Below are 21,190 nucleotides of genomic sequence, written 5' to 3' on the forward strand. Positions count from 1 at the left end.
ACAGGCACATGCCACCACACTGGGCTAATTTTTGTATTTTTAGTAGAGACAAGGTTTCACCATGTTGGCCAGGCTGGTCTCAAACTCCTGATCTCAGGTGATCTTCCCACCTCAGCCTCCCAAAGTGCTGGGATTACTGATGAGAGCCACTGCACCCAGCCTCGTCCTGATTTCTACAAGGCAACGCAGAGTGGGCTAGGACACCTGCATAAGCAGTACTCAAAAGAGGATCAGTGTTACTTACTTTCTTTTTGCCTTAGGATCAAATATACAACAGCATGGTGCTGTTATTGATCCTATCCTTATTTAAAAAGTTGACATTGTGTTCATCATGGGCTTAGCATTTTTGATGTTTTAAATATTGCATTATTGTCTTGATTAATGCATTTTTGATGCCTCCTTAAATTTGTATCTCAGGCAAGTGCCTCACTTGCTTCACACCAGCCCCAGCCCTACCTTTCCCCTAATAAGTTAGGATGGTGATTTGGGTGTCTGTCACCAACAAGGCATAAAATTTTGAGTTCCTCCCCTCTCTGAAGTTCCTCAGCATACTTAGTCTGGTGTGTATGGACTTCACCCACCCTTCAGGATGGGGAAATTTTAATCTAGCCTTAAGTAATATTTTCCTTAATCAGCTAAAATTAGGATGGGGGAGGGGAGTAGAGCAGCACAGTGAGAGAGCAGCTCCTTGCCAATAAATAAGACACATTTGTTTTCAGTTTTAAGCACTCAGCAGCTACCTATGGCTCAACCATATGAGGTCCAATATTTTTGTGCACCTAAAAGACTAAATTATGAAATAAGATCATCATTACTGTCACTATTGGCTTCAACTTTGATGACCCATTGACTAAGAAGCCAGAGCCTATAGCTTTCTGGCTGGAACTCATGGCTTGTTCACTTAACTAATTTGGCCTTTACTCACACACCAAGTGTGTTTTGCTTCTTTTTGATACAAAATTAACAGAGCATTTGCTCTCTCATCATGATAATATCTCTTAGGGTCTTGCCTTCTTTTAACATAAGGGTTGGGGAAGTTTTCCAGGGCTGTCGCTGATGGTAGGAATTTGTCTAGATTTCTTTGCATACCTTTCTCATTCTTTGTCAACACTGTAAACCAATCCAGGTGAGTAAGCGCCCAAATACAAATCAGTGCCTCATCTATATCTTCCCAGAAAGCTAAGTTCCACTGAAAAACAAACAAAACAAAACTCTGAATCCTTTGACTGTCATCTTGGAATGAATCTAAGTTTGGAATAAGAAACTACAGCTGGGGATTAATCCTTCAAGGGCCCAGCTGTTGCCATTCTTCCTTAACAAGCGTATGTGTCTTGTTGTCTCAACCTCCCAAGGAAACCAGTCAAAGTTTGAATGATTCACCTGGCTTCTACCTTCTCTGAAAGTCTCTCTCTCTCTCAATGCTCAGTGAAGGTACATGTCTCTGCAATTTTTGTGTAAAAGAGAGTGGAATTTTCTGCCTACCCAGGACAAATGTTAGTACTAGTTATTAGAATCAAGTGAATCTGAATCCAAATGGGGAGGAAATTCACCCCACTCTACCCTCCAGAGAAGAGTTAACAACAGCCAAGGCATCAGTCTAGCAGCTGAGTTTGAACATAATTCCTGTTCCTCAAACTTCGACCACATCTCCAAATCCTTCTCCTTAACAGGAAATAAAGTGGAACACTATTTATTCTTGGTTAATCATACAATTTGGTCAACATGTTTGCTAGTGATTCCCACAGACTTCCTCAAATTCTGTTAATCAGCCCCTGAAACGCTCATATTTTCTTTCTGAAAAAGCCATGTGTCTGTTGGCGTTTCTTCCTCATTGTCAAAACTGTCAAAGACTGTAGTGCCTGAGATTTTACTATACTTACAAGGCAACAAGTTAGCCTACCACAGTTTTACTAATGCTAGCAAAAACCTTTATGACTCACAGCAATAGCAGTAGCCAGAGTGTCAATATTTGCACAGGTTTCCTGAGTGCCACTTCTCACAGGGTTACACAAAGTAGTCCAGGTGACCCCTGTACCATCAGTGGGTTACATCACAGGAGAGGAACTCTGAGACTAGGGAACCTGAATCTTTTATAATGAATAGTATGCTGCCCTTTGTTCTAGAGGTAGGCACTGTCTCTATCTTCTAAAGCTCTTTGCTACACAAAATCCTTGAAAAGACATTCTGGAACAAAGGCAGTCAGAGCCTTGCTCACAAAATAACATGAGAGGCTCATGTAGAATAATTTCCCAACAGAATTTGCTGTTGGACTGGATGTGTAAGTGTAAAGGCAATGGTAAAGTCAAGGATGGTCTTTGGCTTGCACACTGGGTGGCATTTGGTGCCACTTAAACAGTGACACTTGGGGAAAGGGACCAAATTTTGATTACATTATTACGATATGCCTATTTCATTACCAAAAGAATATGTCATGGTGGCAGTTGAATATTTAATTCTAGAAGCCCACAGTATAGGTCAAAACCAGTAATAATTGATTTGGACATCATCAATATTTAAGCCATGAAACTCAGTGGGATGGTGAAGAAAGAGAGTCCACAACTAAGCTCTGGGGAACTCCAGCACTTAAAGTTCAAGTAGAATAGATAACTAAGACAAAGAACAACCACTGAGGGAAAGATGTGTCCAGGAATCCAAAAGGAAGGAAGTGATTAACTGTGTCAAGCATTGCTGCGAGTTCGACAAAGATGAAAACAGAGCATCGTAAGCTGGTAGTATTCAAAGGGTCAGAACACAGAATTACAGATAAAAACAGACTTTTAATAGTGTGACTTACTGAAGGAACTGGATAACTGAAACTATGAGACTGATATTTGGGCTTTGTAATAAATAAAAGCTATTTCAATTTTATAACAGGTATACTGAATAAACATGGTGCACAAACTATGATAAAAATGCAATTTTAGTGCTCCTTCCATTATCTCTTCAGTATTTAGCAAGGGTAATCATCCCCCACCTTGGGATGGAAATTCCTGTGCACGTATTCAAACACCAAATGTTCACTACATGTGAGGCTCAGTTCTGGTGCTGGGGATAGCACAATGAGAAAAAACATCCATGACCTTGGTAGGCCCATGAATTTATATGCTTTTAGGTAACATAAGGTACTACCATCATTTTCAATTGAAAATTGTCTTTATTAAGAAATTAAAATATATAGTCCTATGTAATGATCAAAACTGTGTCTTCACATTCAATCTCATTTCCTCCTGAGGTCTGGCCTGTCTTAGGCTGAGAGCCTGCAGTAGTTGGCATCTTCCTTGGTGCTTATGTTCCCCAATCCACCAGTTGCTACTTCCCTCTCAGCGCTGATTAAAGAGTAATAAGGAAGCAGTTGGACAGTTCTTTGTGGCTAGATGACTTTATGATCTCTAAGTCCACACATGGAAAGATACATCCTTCAGATGCCTGGAAGATGACTAGAGGGCGTTTTCATCTTTCATGTGATCTTTAGAAATTACCCTCTGGCCTTTTCCCCTGCAGGACCTTGAGTGAGTTGACTGGGAGATCTCTATTTTGATTTGTCTCTGGTGGCTCCATTCCCATTCTCAGGGCATCCAGCTATCCTACCCCAAGCCTCTTTCTGTGAAGGTCTCCAGGCCAAGACATAAGCCCAAGACCATGCATAATGGTTTTTGTGTGGCCCATCTTGTCCATGCATACCATTCACATAACCTTTGCTTTGATAAATTCTCAGAACAAAGGACTACCTCAAGACAGTAGCAAGTTTTATGCAATGCCAATAGAGCAACTAGCCTTTTCCTCACCTTCTAGATTTCCAAGGCAGGAATCAGGTCCCAATTCAGGGCATCCTCTTCCTGCAGAAACACCTGACTTTTTGTAAATGGCCACACTGAAGCACTCCTTGCTAGGCTTTCAGCGAGGAGACAAAAATCACAGTACAGCTTTGCCCAAGATCCCCTCCTCCTAAAAGCCTCTCCTCACCTCTTCTTGTAATGTCTTAAAGTGTGTGAGTAGTTTTAAGAGTTACAGAAATGCTTTTAGAAAAGGTTTCCTGGAAATTTTGCAAATTTGGATTTGTCTCCCCCTCCCATGATCTCTGATATCCTTCACACTGGCTTCAGAGTCATAGGCAGGAACTGAGGCAGAAAGAGGACAATGCTAACATCATATTATACATATACGTAGAAAACAAATTGTCCCAGATTCAGATTTATGAAGGCTTTTGCATCACAGAATCAGATAGCAGCTTGTTTTCTGAGAATTTGACAAGAAAGGAGCCTGCAATTAGGGGTCCCAAGGTGGAGAGCACTGGACTAGTTAAGAGAGACAAGAACTTTAAAATGACGAGGATGGATTATGCTTTCAGGATTCAAAGTAAGCAAGGCCTAAAGAATTATGCCACAGGGCAGGCTGAATTTTTTTTAAAAATCAAAAGTAAAATGAAGCATTCTAAAATTATGTGGCTTCTCCAGTTATGTGTTCAGTCTTCAGCTTTCCTTGATTAGAGAGGAAGGTCAGAGACTTTACAGAAATGTTTTATAGATGCCTAAAGTCATTTAGGACATTTGAAATTATGCTACTTTATAATAGCATGTGCCTAAGGGGAAAGGAAAAAAATCTAAAGTTACTCTGGGATGAGAATGAGAAGACATGATAAACCCTGGTTCTGAGGAACTTTCAGGGTAAACAAAGAGGGAGAAGTGAAAATTACCTGTCAAGAATGGGTGTATAGAAGCCTAGAGAACATGAAGATTGAACAGTTAGTACCTGATGAATCAAAATTCCAGAGATGCCAATAAGCAAAAGCAAAGGTACCACAGAAGAAAGCTGACAGTGATCCCCAACAAAGAATAGGGAAACCAGTAGCTGATAGGCAGAGCTTCCAGCAAGCAAGGGAGATAGAAGAATGTAAAAAACAAACAAACAAACAAACAAAACAAATTTGTTTATAATAACCTTAAATCTTAAAGAAGCCAAGTTCATAGACTGAAATCATCAGCAATCTGGCCACTTCATCATTGAATATGTTTTACTATTTAAGATTCCACCTTCTGTGGCTTTGCAGAAATATCTTTATAAAAATATAAAGAAAACAAACAAGAAAATCCATGTGAAGTCTTGGCAAGCATTCAGAAGCACCCCACACAAATGGTGTTTGCTTGCAAATCCTAAGCAATATTTCCAAGACTACCCCAAACATAGAAGATTCAATATAATTACTGTATTGATTTGGCTACAATAAGGACAGAGCTGTCAATTATTCTGGATTTTTCATTTTGGTCTTATTTCAGCACTCTCTTTAGTTGGCCACTTGACTGAATGTACAGCCAGACACTTACTAGCCAACCTTCTCTTGTAGGTGCAGACGACAACCATGTGCATCTCTGTCAGCCTGAGTGGCTTTGTGGTCTTGGGCTGTTTGTTTGCACCCAAGGTTCACATCATCCTGTTTCAACCCCAGAAGAATGTTGTCACACACAGACTGCACCTCAACAGGTTCAGTGTCAGTGGAACTGGGACCACATACTCTCAGTGTAAGTATGGAACTCAGCACTAACTCCTTCATACATAGCATTGTAGTCAGGACCAGCCTGCCAAGAACAGGCAACACATGTCTGTCCCCATGAACAATCTCAATTCGATTTTACTAAGTATGGATTTAAACACTGTGAGTCAGGTATTGTGCTAAGTGCTGGGGATTCAGTAAGGAGCAAAGAAGTCAAAGTTTCTGTTTGGGCAGCACATACAGTCTAGCAGGGAACAAAGACATTAAATACATAGCTGCAGTGAGGGGTTTGACCATGTTGTGGGGTTAGATAACCTGGTCTCTCGTCCTGTTCTGCACTCAATTTAATAGATAACTTCAAACAAGTCACTCTATTGCTTTCTGCCTCATTTTACTAATTAAAATAGGGGACTGGGCTAGATTGGTGTTTTATAAAATATATTATATGTCACACAGATGCCAAAGGAGCTTCATGAAAAATTAAAAGGGGAAGATAATAAAATACAATGAAAAGTGCTACATTCCTAATTCCCCCTTGGAAGTTTACAGTACTTCCTTTAACATGAGTGTGTTATAGGTTTTGAGAATCTCTATGCAAGAAAACCTGTTTAACTTTGTTAAAAGTTAAAATACTTTTAAAAATATTTTATCACAGTAAAACTAACATCCCGTGGAACACACCTTGGAAAATGCTGGAATAGATCTTCCTCCTACTTCAATGACACAATGTTTTCTCAGCTTAGAAGGCAGTGTGAACTGAAGGATACTAGGATAGTTCCCAGTCCCTAATTCTCTCTGCTACTGGCCTGCAAATGTCTGAAACACTATCCTTAGAGAATCATTGATTTAATTCTTTAGAGTTCTCTAAAGCACAAATGTGCCTGAAGGGGATAACCTTTTAAGCCATTTTCAGCTAAATTGTGGTATGAAGTAGAAGCAATTCACTGACACTGGATGAGGGGGAAGAAAAGAACTGGAACCATGAGAGGGGAAGGGAGGACAGAAAGTGACAGAGACAAATGACTGCTTCACAATTTTGCCTCGAGTTGATCAGAAAGGATACTTCAAAATAGCTCAGCATCACAGGGTCAGCAATCACATTAGCGCCCCAATTTCTCTACCAAAGTACAGAATTTAACAGGGCAGCCCTTCCCCCAGGAAACTGAAGGAAGACTGACAGTCTGAGAGCACATGTTCATGGATAGGCTGCACATTCCTGTCTTTCCAGCTAAACTCCAACGTGTCACAAAAGTTGAGCTTCAGGGCATGGCAAAGCCTGTGAGGTCGTTTTCCATGGATCTTAGAGAAATATGTTGATTTCTTGAGCAAACAAAGCTCTTTTTAGCAGACTAATCTTAACAGCTACCTAGTCCAGCCCAGAGAGAACTGTCAATAACTAATAAAAATATTAACAACAGGTAACAGGAACTTTCATTTGTTGAGTGTTTTTCATATGCTGGGCACCATGCTAAATACTTTACACACATGTGTGTATGTGTGTGCTGTCTTATTCAATGCTCCAACCCCTTAAGGTAAAGAAACTCACCCAGGGTCACACACTTTAAAAATGGCAGAAACAGAATTTAGAGTCAGTTCCTATGATTTCAAAGCCAGTGCACCTAACTACTGTATCGTGCAGCCTCTTCCAGACAGCAAGCTGGGAAAGTTCTCATGGCCAGGCTTTGCAGAGAGAATAAAAAGAAGGTTATCCAAGCAAAATTGTCTCATTGCTAGCTCAGAACTTTTGCTTGTTATTAGAACAATTTAGCAGAGTCCATAAGTCTTCCATAGACGTTATTCAAAATTGCGTATATCCAGACCTCAGTAATTTAGAAATGGCAGAATTTTCTAATGCATATGCTGGGAATTAACAAATTCCAGAAGGGATAGCAAGGGCACTTTCTCCAATCAAGTCTCTTGTTAGAAATTCAGAAATATCCATCTACATAAAAACAATGTACTGCAACCACAGCAGACCTGTTAAACTATTATTCAGTATGCTAATCTGATAGTGACCCAATTAGTACTTCAAGACAGGTGTTTGAACATTGTTGGAATGTCTTGTTAATAAAATTATAAATAAACTTTTTTTTAAAAAAGGTCTAAATTCAGACCTCATTGTTTCAGCAATATTTCCCTAATCAATACAAATCAATGAAGTAGTACCATGTAACAAAGTGAAGATTTTATATAACATCTCTTGGCATTTTAACGTGCATAAGTAACAAATACATTCACCTGTTATTTGCATTTTTACTCTTTTATTCAAAGTAGTTTTATATTCATGAACTCATTTTATCCTCATGAGTACCAGATATCACAAGTTCTATTTTATAGGTAAGAAAATTGAGAATTGAAGTTACTTCTCAAGGATATACAGTGATACAAGAGTCAAGAGTTGAGCCTGATTTCCTGACTTTCAATTAAAAACTTTCCCATTTTAATAAGTTGGAAGTATTTCATATCAAGAAATTTATTCATTCATTAAATTATTGAGTACCTACTACACACCAAAAATTTCTAAGCACTGTGTACACAGTAACGAATAGGACGGAATCCCTGGCCCCATGAAGCTTGGTGTCTAGGACAGTGGTTTTCATACTGTAGACTGTAAGCCATTATTGGGTCATGAAATTTAGTATCTTTGGCCAGTGCTTTTTAAAAGAAAAAAACAGAAAATCTTAAGAGTGCATTACATGTAATAAAGGTAAGGCATAAAAGGTAAGTCATGAAGAGTTATATGTATATGTATACCAGGTCCGGGTAAAATGTATTTATTTCTATAGATCACAATCAAAGATGTTTAAAGGCCAGTGGTCTATGGAATTGAGTTCTGTGTATGAACATGTTACTGACCCACTTTGGTAGAATTGAAGCAATTATTTAATATCTTAGTGTCTGTTTCCTCTATTGTATATTCAGCTCAATTTATATCCATTTCCCTCCTAAATACTTGGAAGTATGTTGCTTTAGAAATCAAGAACATTCCTTAAACTGCTCTGCGTTCATTAGATAAAGCATATGTTTTTCTTGGGTTGTACATAATTCACGTTCTTCCAGTGAGTATAATGTTAGCACTTTATTTCATTGGGCGATTGTTAATATTGCTGCTGGTTTTCTGACTTTCTCTTCAGAGGTAAAACAAAACCCACTGTAGAGATGAGAGTAAGCTAATATGGAAACAGAGTTATCGCGTTTCCTCCACTTTATCTATTCCTGCATAACAAACTTCTCCATAACTTAAAGGCTTAAAACAATACCTCTTTATATGATTATCTCTTACAGTTTACAAGTCAGGAATTCAGACAGGGCTTGGTTCATCTGCTCCATGAGGCTGACGTTCTTTCATGGTTTTAAGCAGAGACTGAGCTGATCTGGAAGATCCATGATGCTTTCACTCTTATTCCTGGCATCTTGGCAGGAAGCCTGTCCATGTTGGCTCCTAATGAGCAAGTTCCATAAAAAAAGGAAGTAGAAACTGGCTTGGCCAGGAAACTGGTATAGCATAATTGGTACCATACTTATTTATCGAAGCTCAGATTCAATGGGAAGTGCATAGACCCCACCTCTCAAAGAGTCTGTGATTATTATAATTATGCCACACTTTCCAAATCGCCAATTAATCCATTACTGCATCTTATCAAGAATTACAGTGACTTGACACAATCTCGTATAATACCAAGAAGTCACCCCAACTGGAAAGTACAGCCATATCAATTCCAAGTTAATTCTCTGTCAAGAGAGTAAGAGAAATACCACATTACTTTGGAGTCTAGGAGAGCCTCCTGATGGCAGCCAAGGTGGTTGATAGCAGAAAGAGTATTGGTATTGAATTTTTAAAGCTGACCAGTTGCTCCACAAAACTGGAAAAGCATGACCACACTCAGTAGCAGACATGAAAGAATGAACATGGTTAACAACATCTTGGAAAACTGAAAAGTTTTACATATTGCTATGTGCAAAAGAGTACAATTAAAGTTGTGCCTAATTAATTATATACAGTAGAAGTAAGAATAATAAATGACACCTTAATTTTTCTCCATTAAGAATACCCATGGATCAATGATTCCCAGATATTTGTATATGAAAAATAACTCCTTTGAAATGGAGATGCCCTGGTCCCACCCATAGATATTCTGATTCATGTGGTCTGGAGCAAAGGCCAGAAATCTGGTTTGTAACAGACACCCCAGCTGTTTCAATAGAAGTGGTCCAAAGAAAATATTTTGAGAACCTCTACCTAAAACCATCCTTGTCTGCTTCATCCACTGATATCAGTGCAGTCACTGCAGGGAGGTTCTCTAGCCCATCAAAGAGGAAGCAGGGTTTCAGAGAGGGAGTGACATTCTGAATTTCCACCCTTTGCTTCATAATACCAGTGGCCACATCCACATGCAGTGATTTCCCAGGCTCCCTCTGGAACTTTCAGGGAAGTCATTTCCAGCATAGAAGAACCTGGCCGCTCAGAAAACATTTACTAAAAGTGGGCATTCTCCTTCTAATGGCAGTATAACTCACAGACCTTGAAATCCTAAACTCGTACTTTTAATTCTACTCCCACACCCACACACATAAGCAAACATCCTTTGTATATGGATGAAAAAGAGGTCATTTTTATTCTCTTCTGCTCTAGAAGCAAAAGAGATTCCCAGAGTTGGTTCCTAAGGACAGGCAATCAATAACATATGTTGGGAATGTAAGTAGAACTGCATAATATTTAAAGAGACAAGCTGGAAGTACACATGAAGTTACATAGCATAAAACCCTATAGGAGTCATGCAGGTGAGAATATTGGCACTAACATGATTTTGTATCAGCATAGACTGGGGAGAGAAAGGTGAAAAATGAAGTGTGCCCCATAGTCTTCAGAGCTATTATACCCAGACTTGGTCCTATAAGGATATGTGTCTCTTGCTCATGGTAATTGTTCAGATGTATGTATGTCATTATCATGAAGATCAGCCAAGAAACTTCGACTACCCAATGATGCCCAGATTTTGGTCCCCAAGGAGCTGTAGGCATATGGAGATTGATTTTCTCTGCCAAGACAGTCACTTGTCTAGGTGGTAATGTGTGAACTGTTCAATTAATACAATTACTTATTATCACAAAGTTTTTTCGCATTATAAAAAGAAAGTGGTAGTATAAAAAGATTAAGTGAACACTCTTCTAGAATCATGGCATCATTTTCCATACAGCTACAACCATAGAAAGCAAGCACATGAGACCAGACTCTGGCCTAGTTAGCAAGGGGCAATGGCCTAGTTAGCAGGGGGCAAGCCATTGTTGAAGTCTGAATATGACTTTATAAAATAAAAGCATAACACGTAATGCCCAAGCTTCTTCTCTATAGTTCAGCCCCCGAAAAACAGCATCATGTGCCTGTAATCTAAGCTCAGGGAACCCCACATGACACTATGTACTAGCCTGGCCAGGAAAATTAGCAAGGTATTTGGTAATACAAACTGAATTGATGGTCTTTCTTGCCACAGGTATATCATACACGTAAATCTTCAATGGGCAGTGCAGGAAGAACTAGAGTATTCAGCAAGTCAAGCCAGCTGCTTTCATGGAGAATATACCCAAAGCATCTAAACCAGATAAATGTTAATCTATTTTTCCCTTTAGAAAGTTCACAGAAAAGAGGCCAGTCACAGTGACTCATGCCTGTAGTCCCAGCACTTTGGAAGGCCAAGGCAGGTGGATCACCTGAGGTCAGCAGTTGAAGACCAGTGTGGCCAGTATGGCGAAACCCCATTTCTACTAAAAAAATACAAAAATTAGCCAGGCATGGTGGTGTGCAGCTGTAATCACAGCTACTCATGAGGCTGAGACAGGAGAATTGCTTGAACCCGGGAGGTGGAGGCTGCAGTGAGCCGAGATCATGCCACTGCACTCCAGCCTGGGAGACAGAGCAAGACTCCATCGCCCTCTGCAAAAAAAAAAAAAAAAAAAGTCCACAGAAAAGATAACTATTGGGTACTGGGCTTATTTCATCACTTGAAATCTGTGCAGCAAACCCCTGTGACACACTTTTACCTATGTAACACACCTTCACATATATCCCCAAACCTAAAATAAAAGTTAAAAAAAAGAAAGTCCACAGCATTCCTGAGAATCTCATTCCATTCCCTTTTACTCCCTTTGTCATTGTCAATGGAAGAATAGAGTCTCCAGCTACAATAGGTAACTCTACATGTATTAGAGAATTGATGTTTAGTACCTCTCCTTTCTTCTATGTAACACTTTCATTGTGTTTGTCTCACAACTGCTTTTTTCCATCCCTTAAATCATTCTCTCTTTATCTCTAATATGTTGCTAGGTTTTCCCCTAGTAAATATAGCCCACCTTCTTTAATAACAGTGACCACAAATATCAGAGCTGGGAGGGCCACTTTGGAACATTTATTCTAATAACCACATTTCTAGATGAGAAAACTAGGGCCCTATCTACTAGATACTTTAGGAATTTGATAACTAGAGTTATAGATGAAACTCTCAAAGGCTGCTATATTGTTCCTCTGGCCTCCCTGAATTTGCCGCCTCAGCTCAGTTACAAAATTCAGCTCATAGACTATTCTGACAATGAGAATGTTAGCATCTGCAAATTCAATGGTTTTTTTTTTTTTTTAAGTTAAAAGCTTACTTTTCAGCTCTATACCTGATGGCATCTTGTTCTATCAGCATGGGTACAGACTCGTTCATGTAGTCCCATAATGTTCATGGAGTCCCATAATGACACTACGTAGTAGCCTGGCCAAGCAAGTTAGGTTTGAATGTGGCTAGAGGAAGATGAATAAAAGTGAGAATAAGAGGCGAGGAGAACAGAGAGGCATTATAAGGATATTTACTCTTTGACTGAAAGAAATGAGAAAGTACTAGAAGGGTTTCATCAGAGTTGTGGTATGACCTGACTTTAAAAGCATAAATTTTGGCTGTGTGGGCAAAATATAAAAGAGGGAGCAGCCAAAGAGATCATTTAGGAGGCATAGTCCAAATGGTGGTGGTTTAGACCAGAGTGAGAGATAGCAGTAGAAGCCAATAAAGTGTTCTGATACTGTACATAACTTAAAGGTGAAGCTAACAGGATTAGTTCCACAGAAAGGAGACTAAAACTAATTTTATTAGAGTTTAACACTTTTGGTTTTAGACTTTTGTCCCTAGGCATAGTAGCACATGCAACTCATATTAGTTATCTGAGCCTCAGGGTGAAAAAGTTTCTGATCCTTGTCTGAAAACATATTTTGATAGAAAAGAGGAGAAACCAGTGATGTTGGGCAACTAAGAGAGTGAAAAGAATGCAGGATTGGTAGAAAAGCACAGAAAAATGATCCTTTTCATTTACCAATTATTTATTGGGCATCCCTCTTTATACTTTTTGAGGGAAGGAGAAGAGAGTAAATTTTTATTTTATTTTATTTTATTTTATTTTATTTTATTTTATTTTATTTTATTTTTTGAGACGGAGTCTCACTCTGTCCCCCAGGCTGGAGTGCAGTGGCACAATCTCGGCTCATTACAAGCTCTGCTTCCTGGGTTTACACCATTCTCCTGCCTCAGCCTCCCAAGTAGCTGGGACTACAGGCACCCGCCACCACGCACGGCTAATTTTTTGTATTTTTAGTAGAGACGAGGTTTCACCATGTTAGCCAGGATGGTCTTGATCTCCTGACCTCATGATCCACCCACCTCATCCTCCCAAAGTGCTGGGATCACAGGCATGAACCACCATGCCTGGCCAAGAACATGATATTTTAAAGCAACATGATGTGGCAACAATGGAGGGAAGTATTTAGTTGAAGACTGATGGTTTGAATGTGTCCTCCAAATTTCATGTGTTGAAAACTTAATCTCCAAATTCACATCCTGATTGGAGGTGGTGTCTTTGGGAGGGAATTAAGATTAAATAAGGTGATCAGGGTGGGGCCCCCATGATGGGACTGATGGCTTTCACAGGAGAGGAAGAGAGACCTGAACTAGATGCTCACTCTATCTCACCATGTGATGCCTCTCACCATGTCATGATACAGCAGGAAGGCCCTCACCAGACGCCCAGTGCCATGCTCTTGCACTTTCCAGCCTTCAGAACCATGAGCTAAATAAATGTCTATTCTTTATAAATTACCTAGTAAGTGATATTCTGTCACAGAAACAGAAAATGGACTGAGACCAAGTGCTATTTCTGTTGGTAAAGTAATGGGTCATTAAAAAGGGTCATGACATATCTTCTTTTTCCATAAATCTTGTCTCACAAGAAAAGAATCATTGAATGAAGAAGTCACTGCTTTCATACAGTTCTACTCCCCATTTGGAAACTAAATCTTGGATTTGCAGATTTTTATCCCACAGTATAATGAATATGATGATCTTAAATCTACTGTTAACAGTTTAAAACCATTATTTGGGTCATAAAGAGGAAGCAGTCACTGAGAATTCAGTCTATGTATTTTTTCTTTTTTCTTGTTTTTGAAGAGACCTTTTTCACTGACAGGATCTCATTCTGTCACCCAGGCTGCAGTGCAGTGACATGATCCTAGCTCACTGAAGCCTCGAACTCCTCGGCTCAAGTCATCCTGCGACCTCAGCACTTGAGGCACATGCCATCCTGCCCAGCTAAATTTTTTTAGAGATGGGGTCTTGCTACATTGCCCAGGCTGGTCTCAAACTCCTGACTGGCCTCAAATGATCCTCCTACTTTGGCCTCCCAAGGTGCAGAGATTTCAGGCCCAACCCACTGCACCAGGCCCAGTCTATATTTCTTAATAATGAATTATTTGCCTTCCCCTGTGAAATCTCTGACATAGCAAGAATACCAAACCAATGGGTAGTAGTAGTGTCTTCATCTGCCCAGATAACATCTATTATTCAATCACCAGATACAATTCTCCTGAAATGGAACCAAGGGACCCTAGCATAAGTAAAATTAAGATGATGAGTAAGAAAACAGATTCAATGACAAAGCAGGACACAAGACAACAAACAGTTGGTGGAAACTGGATTCCATGACCATAATAGTAAAATATCTAAACAAACAGACTTCCTGGGAAAAAATTATTTGGGGTCATCAGAAGCAAGGAAATGGAACAGATGGAGCAAACTGGAATGTCTGTTCCGTTGAAATGTTTATTTTTTTTCTGAGACTGATGCAAAGTAACACTGCTAAAGTAACACTGACTCTCAGCAACCAGTCTTAGCCACTAAATTGACTAACAGACTTGGCATCCATAAAAATCTATTAAATAAATATATTTAGCATTGATTGAGGGTCCAATTATCTGAAAAAATACAATAATTTTCTCCAAAGTCTGGCTAGCCCATGCATTACTGGTGGAAGAGAAGTGGATTTTGCAGAGCAAGACAAAGCTGCCACTTGGTTACACTGATCTTCAACGTTTCACCAGTTTGTGAAGCAAAATATGCCTTTTGATGGCTGTGAATTACCCTTTTGTGATCAATAGTGGAATTTATAAGGTCCTTTTCCATTTACCTTAAATTTTCACTTTGAATGGCAAAAGCACACCTTATCCTAGAGTATCCAATAGTTACTATTTACCCCAAGTCCCAGGAAAGCCAAAAATAGGGCTACATGCCTCTTATGTCTAGTAGAAAGGATGATTATAGAAATGTGCTTAACCACACTTAAGAAAATGGGCTAAACTTACACCATTAAAAATCTCATGAGGATTTCATCAGAATAACAGAAAAAGCTCATCACAAACATACACACAGAAATGATAGTACTTTGCCCTTCTACATATTTTATTACCTTGGTGAATAACAGACGGGCTAATACAGGAGGCATATGTAAAATATTTATGAAAAGCAAAGTAATTGAGATAATAAGCTCATAAAACAATAATTTTCCCTACTATATTCAACAGCATGTGCAAAAATGAGAATTTTCTTCATAATAAAATGCACCAGCAGAAGCTACCGATGAAATAATAAAAGAGAAGCAGAAAAATATAAGTTAGAGTTCCCTTCGACACATTAAAAAGTATTTAGGGGAAAAAGTAGTTGCAAAAACAGTCTTGTGGGTATTTTTTGCTGTTGCTATTTCTTGTAAGAAGACCTTGAATTTGTATTATCTTCCTCTCAAAGAGTTTAGACATAGGTTGCTCCTTTGAATGTCCCTATGAAGGGGGTAGATGAAACAAAGTTGTTCTATTAACTTCCATGATGATGTCCATGGGGTACATAGTAGATGACTATTTTATACTAGAACTTGAGGATTTTCCATGCAGCTATCTTTTGCAGACTCTGTCCTCCTTACCTAGGCAAGATATACCTAATTTTTAAGAAATTAGAATGCAATGGGCAAGTTGACTCTAAGAGTGCACTCCAAAGCATAGCATTACATCAAGTTCCATAAGAGGACAGGGAACATCAGAGTAGGTTTCAGATACAAACTTAAGAGGGGGTATTTGAATCCTAGGCCTTAGTTCTCCTAGACTTATCCCTGTGACACATTATTCCTCTTCAATCGCTAAAATTTCATTTTTAGCATGCACAGAAATAATACAACTTGATCCTGGAAAAGATAAAGAGATTAGTTAAAATGTCAAAGGCAGCATGCCTGAATGGGAGCTCACAACCTGAGTCAGTTCTCTTGGCAAGGGTAGTTGATGGTCATTGTCACAATGTGGCTTGAGAAGCAAAAGCCCACCTGTCTGAAAATAAGGCTGCCCATAGGCTTCATGTTTGCTGGTCATTTCTTTAGTTTAAAAGATTATTTCCTTCTTGAAACTTCCATTGGTTTCCTGATTCTTTGAAATGCAAACATTTATATGATAATTCAGGAAATATTTATAGACAGTCTATTCCATGACCAGCACTAGGGATAAAATAATGAAACAGATAAGTAAAACCCCTGCATATTTTCTAGTCAAGGGTATAGGATGCTACACCAAAAATAATAATAAGCAAGAAAAAAGGCAGCAACAACTGGGCTAGGCTGAGTTTCAAAACTGGGTGATGTGACAGTAACTGATTGGCTATTATTTTAAATTAAGTGGCCTGATGACTACCTCTTTGAGGTAACATTTCAGATGTGGATGACAAGGAGGAGCCAGACATGAGTAGATCAGAGGGAAGAACATTCCTAGAGAGGCAAAGGCTACTGCAAAGGCAGAAAGTTGAGAAACAGATTTGCTGTATTTGAGAACAAAAGCAAAAAGAAGGAAAAAAAAATTGGAATGAGGTGAACACAAAAAGGGGGACATGGTCCAAATTACGATGGGATTTATAAGCCAGAATAAAGAGTTAGAGCACACAGGGAAGCCACTGGAAGTGCATATGTAGGTGACTTGTATTTTAAAATACTCTCACTGCTGTATAGAGAATATATTGCAACAAAAAAGCAAGAGTGGAAACAGACAGGCCAGTGGTGCAGCTCTTGCAATGATCAGGAGAAACATCATGGTGGGTTGCCCCAGGGTGGTAGATGCAAAGAGAACTGGTTAGACGTAAATCTAGAGGTGAGTGAAACTGATGATAGGTTTGACATGGGGCAGGGTCGAAACAAAAAGGAATGAAACATACATTTTAGATTTTTGGTTTGGGCAATTGGCCAGATGGCAAAACCATTCACTGAGGAAAGGAAAGCTAAATGGAGGCAGGTTAGGGAATCAAGAGTTCAGCTATGGCCACTGATTTTGAAGTGGCTTTTAAACGTACACACAAAGATGTCAAGTAGGCAGTTGGATACAAAAGGCTGCAGAAAAAGCACATATTGAATGACCTAGAGTGCTCTCCTAGGTTTCCAGTAACCCATTTTGAATCTCACTTTGCCTTTCCCTTTCTCTTACCTTACCTACATTTGATGAAGCTGGAATTAGGTACAATATATGGAAATAATTTTTCTAATTAAAGTATTTATAAATAATAAAGCCCTCACATTTGGAATTATGATTATGACCACTTTCCATCAAGTATTTATCTGGCACATACTGTGTTACCAATTTCTTCATTGTAGCAGTTTCAGGAAATGCATATGACACCGTACCTGCCCTCAGAGATATTATAGCTTTTAATGGGCTCGTATTGTAAAGAAAATTGAACCTGATCCTAATAAGAAGAAGAAAAAAATCTCCAAAAGAGTTAGCATGTTGCATGACTCCAGTGTAACTTGAGGTAGCCACACAAACTTGACTTCATAGATTTTTCTTACATACCTAGCCAAGCAATCAATGTAAAATTGAGGGGCTGTAGATTCCCTAGTGGTGGACCTGCTGATAGACTTCAGTGCCCCAAGTATAGTGAATGCTCCCCCACTGAATGCCATATAATCTCACATTTCATAAATAGTTGCTCCTGTTTAAGGAAATTAATAGGAATTTTGCCTAGGTAAAATGAAAATGTAGGGGTCAATTATATATCCACTATCAAGCATGGACATTTAAACATGAAGCCAGTTTATCTGCAGGTTAACTTTGAGATATGCTCTTAAAGAATGGGACAGATGGCTGGTCAATTTGATCTGGGCTGTGATCAAGTACCCCAGAGGATCAGCTCCTACTGGTCAGAGTATATACAAATAGACAGGCCAAGGGGTTGTATGAGAGAGATCTTAAATGTAATGGAACACCATCTCTTTAACCGATTCTCTCGGCTACATGGTTTCAGTCCATAGAGAATGGGGCTCCTTGCTTTTGTTCTCATTCAGTGAAAAGAAAAAGCATTAAGGGTGAAATATATATAACTTATCTGTACCTAGATTTCTCATGAAATAAAACTTTACCAACAACAAGTTAATAGCTAAGAACTGTATCTAGGAAAACTGAGTGCCATAAAAAGAATGAGTATATATATCCATACTATATAATATGGCTAGGGAGTACTTTAGTTTCCTATGACTGGTGTGAGGAATTAGCACAAACTGGGTGTCTTAAAACAATAGAAATTTATTCTCTCTCAGTTATGGAGGCTGAAAGTCTGAAAGGAAAGCATCAGCAGGGCCACACCATAACACTGTTGTCACTATTTGTCATTAACAAGGGCACCATCCCTTTGGAATATCTTTTCTGAGACCCGTTATGAAACTGAAGCTCTTAGCAACCCAGCCCTTACTAGTGTTTTTACTGAGGTTATCCACTTGAACAATGAAAATATATCAAACCAGTCTCTAAGGCAGTGGAGTTCACAGATGACTCACGGACTATATAAGGCTCATCCCTGTATAGACAGAACAAAACTAATTAAGGTACTGAAAACAGTAAATAATTTAGTAACCTATAAAAATTGCAGTGAGCTTTTGATTTTGCACATTGTATTTAAACCAGTTTATAGATTACCAAAGCTAATTTTCAACCCACAAGTGACTTCCTTCAACAATGATTATACTTACAAATTCCCCGCCAAGAGGTATAACGTTAGTGGAGGTATGTTCCAGGTTGCAAACTAATTTGGAGCAGAACATATTTAGAAATTGACCTACAATAGCATTTTAACCATTTAGCACTTTCCAAAGCCAAATTAAAATGAGTTTTTAATTTAATTTTATTTTTTTTCACATTTTTTATTTCCATGGGTTTTTGGGGAATAGATGGTATTTGGTTACATGAGTAAGTTCTTTAGTGGTGATGTGTGAGATTTTGGTGCACCCATCACCTGGGTAGTATACACTGAACTCCAATTTGTAGTCTTTTATCCCTCACCTCCTTCCCACCCTTCCCCCCGAGTCCCCAAAGTCCATTGTATCCTTCATGCTATTACCTTTGTGTCCCACTTGACTAACTTTGAGTTTTCTGTCCCACTTTGTTTTCCAGCCTCTGCAAGCACGTATGTGCCAACGGTGTGCAATGGGCGGGAAGTCCTCGACTCCACCACCTCATCTCTGTGATTGTGAATTGCAGTTCAGTTCTTGTGTTTTTAGACTGTTAGACAAAAGTGCTCACGTGCAGCTCCAGAATATGGAAACAGAGCAAAAGAACAACCCTAGTACCTTTTTTTAGAAACAGTACGATAAATTATTTTTGAGGACTGTATATAGTGATGTGCTAGAACTTTCTAGGCTGAGTCTAGTGCCCCTATTATTAACAATTCCCCCAGAACATGGAAATAACCATTGTTTACAGAGCTGAGCATTGGTGACAGGGTCTGACATGGTCAGTCTACTAAAAAACAAAAAAAAAAAACAAAAAAAAAAAAACAAAAGAAAAAAATAAAAATACGGTGGCAATATTATGTAACCTTTTTTCCTATGAAGTTTTTTGTAGGTCCTTGTTGTAACTAATTTAGGATGAGTTTCTATGTTGTATATTAAAGTTACATTATGTGTAACAGATTGATTTTCTCAGCACAAAATAAAAAGCATCTGTATTAATGTAAAGATACTGAGAATAAAACCTTCAAGGTTTTCCAGCATGGTGGATAATGGTTTGTTCTTTTTGAATAACTCAAGGTAATTTGAATATGACTTCAAATCATTTCTACATTTAATATTAGAAGAAACTGTCTGACTGTGCTTCTGTTCCCATCTATACATACTTCAAACTCAAGTTGTTACTCTGCTGAAGAGTTGTGAGCAGGTTCAGACTTCTCTATGGTCCACAATGATCAGAAATTGACTGGTAGCAACACCATATATATCAGACCATTTCAGTGACAATACACATTTTGGTTTTCTAAAGCCACATCTGGGGGGAAGCCGAGAATTGCCCAGATAGAGATATAAGACAATGAGAGAGTTGCTATGTTCAGAATATAGAGACTGTGGCTGCCAGGGAAGATTTGATGGCTCTCATTTCCAAAAACAACCTTAATTACTACGAAATTGGCAGAATATCTCCTTATTCCACTAGAAAATCACTCTCACCATTCACTGCTGAATGAGGCAATAAAATGCAGGATATCTTGTTTTCTAATTTTTTTTTTCAGTAGCCATGCTCAGGCACATCGGCTTGTCACTAAACTTTAATATTTTATTAACCTACATAAGGGAGTGAACAGGGAAAGCATGGATAAGCTAAAACTGGCTTATTCTTACTAAATACTGTCCTATTTTTATCAACCTTTTACTCACAAATCATTTATGAATGTAGGAAAATTTGCTGAGAATATATGTGTCAGATCCTGTGCCAGGGGCCATGGCTAGGGAGTGCTTTAGTTTCCTATGGCTGGTATAAGGAATTAGCACAAACTGGGTGTCTTAAAACAATAGAAATTTATTCTTGCACAGTTATGGAGGCTGAAAGTCTGAAAGAAAAGTGTCAGCATCAGCAGGGCCACACTCTCTCAGAAGCTCTAGTGGAGGATTCATTCCATGCCTCTTCTAGCTTCTGGTGGTTGCCAGCTTCCTTGGCTTGTGGCCACATCACTCCAATCCCTGCCTCCATCTTCACATCACCTTCTCCTCTGTGTCAGTTTTGTCCTCTGTGTCTCTTACAAGGACACTAGTTATTTGATTTAGGGCCAATCTAGGTAGATACTATAGGATGAGTTCATCTCGGGAGATGAAAAAAGGCACGGCCCTTTTTTCAAATAAATTAACATTCTCAAGTTCCAGGGATTAAGATGTGGACATATCATTTTAGGGGCCACTTTTTATCCCACAACAGAAAAAAGAATGAATAAGTTGTAGTGCCTGCCTCTAAGAAGCTTAAAGACTGGAAAATATTATGATGAGAGGATGTTTGTGACACAAGGAAGACAGTGAGAGGAAAGATGAGGAGAATCAGGATATGAAGTATCCACAGGCTAAACA

The 21,190-nt window shown here is 38.9% G+C and overlaps 1 protein-coding gene across 3 annotated transcripts in view; it reads left to right on the plus strand.

Annotated features, from left to right (window-relative positions):
• Nucleotides 1–19,851, plus strand: part of GRM3 (glutamate metabotropic receptor 3) — a 220,971-nt gene extending 201,120 nt beyond the window's left edge. For all 3 annotated transcript variants that reach the window (NM_000840.3, NM_001363522.2, XM_047420268.1), the window contains 2 exons: nt 5,342–5,516; nt 19,254–19,851. In NM_000840.3, coding sequence (NP_000831.2) covers nt 5,342–5,516; nt 19,254–19,327 — 249 coding nt within the window. In that variant the 3' untranslated portion in view covers nt 19,328–19,851. The remainder of the gene's footprint in view (nt 1–5,341; nt 5,517–19,253) is intronic.
• Nucleotides 19,852–21,190: the final 1,339 nt, after the last annotated feature.

This window comes from Homo sapiens, chromosome 7 (assembly GCF_000001405.40).
Source record: "Homo sapiens chromosome 7, GRCh38.p14 Primary Assembly".
Taxonomy (NCBI): Eukaryota; Metazoa; Chordata; class Mammalia; order Primates; family Hominidae; genus Homo; species Homo sapiens.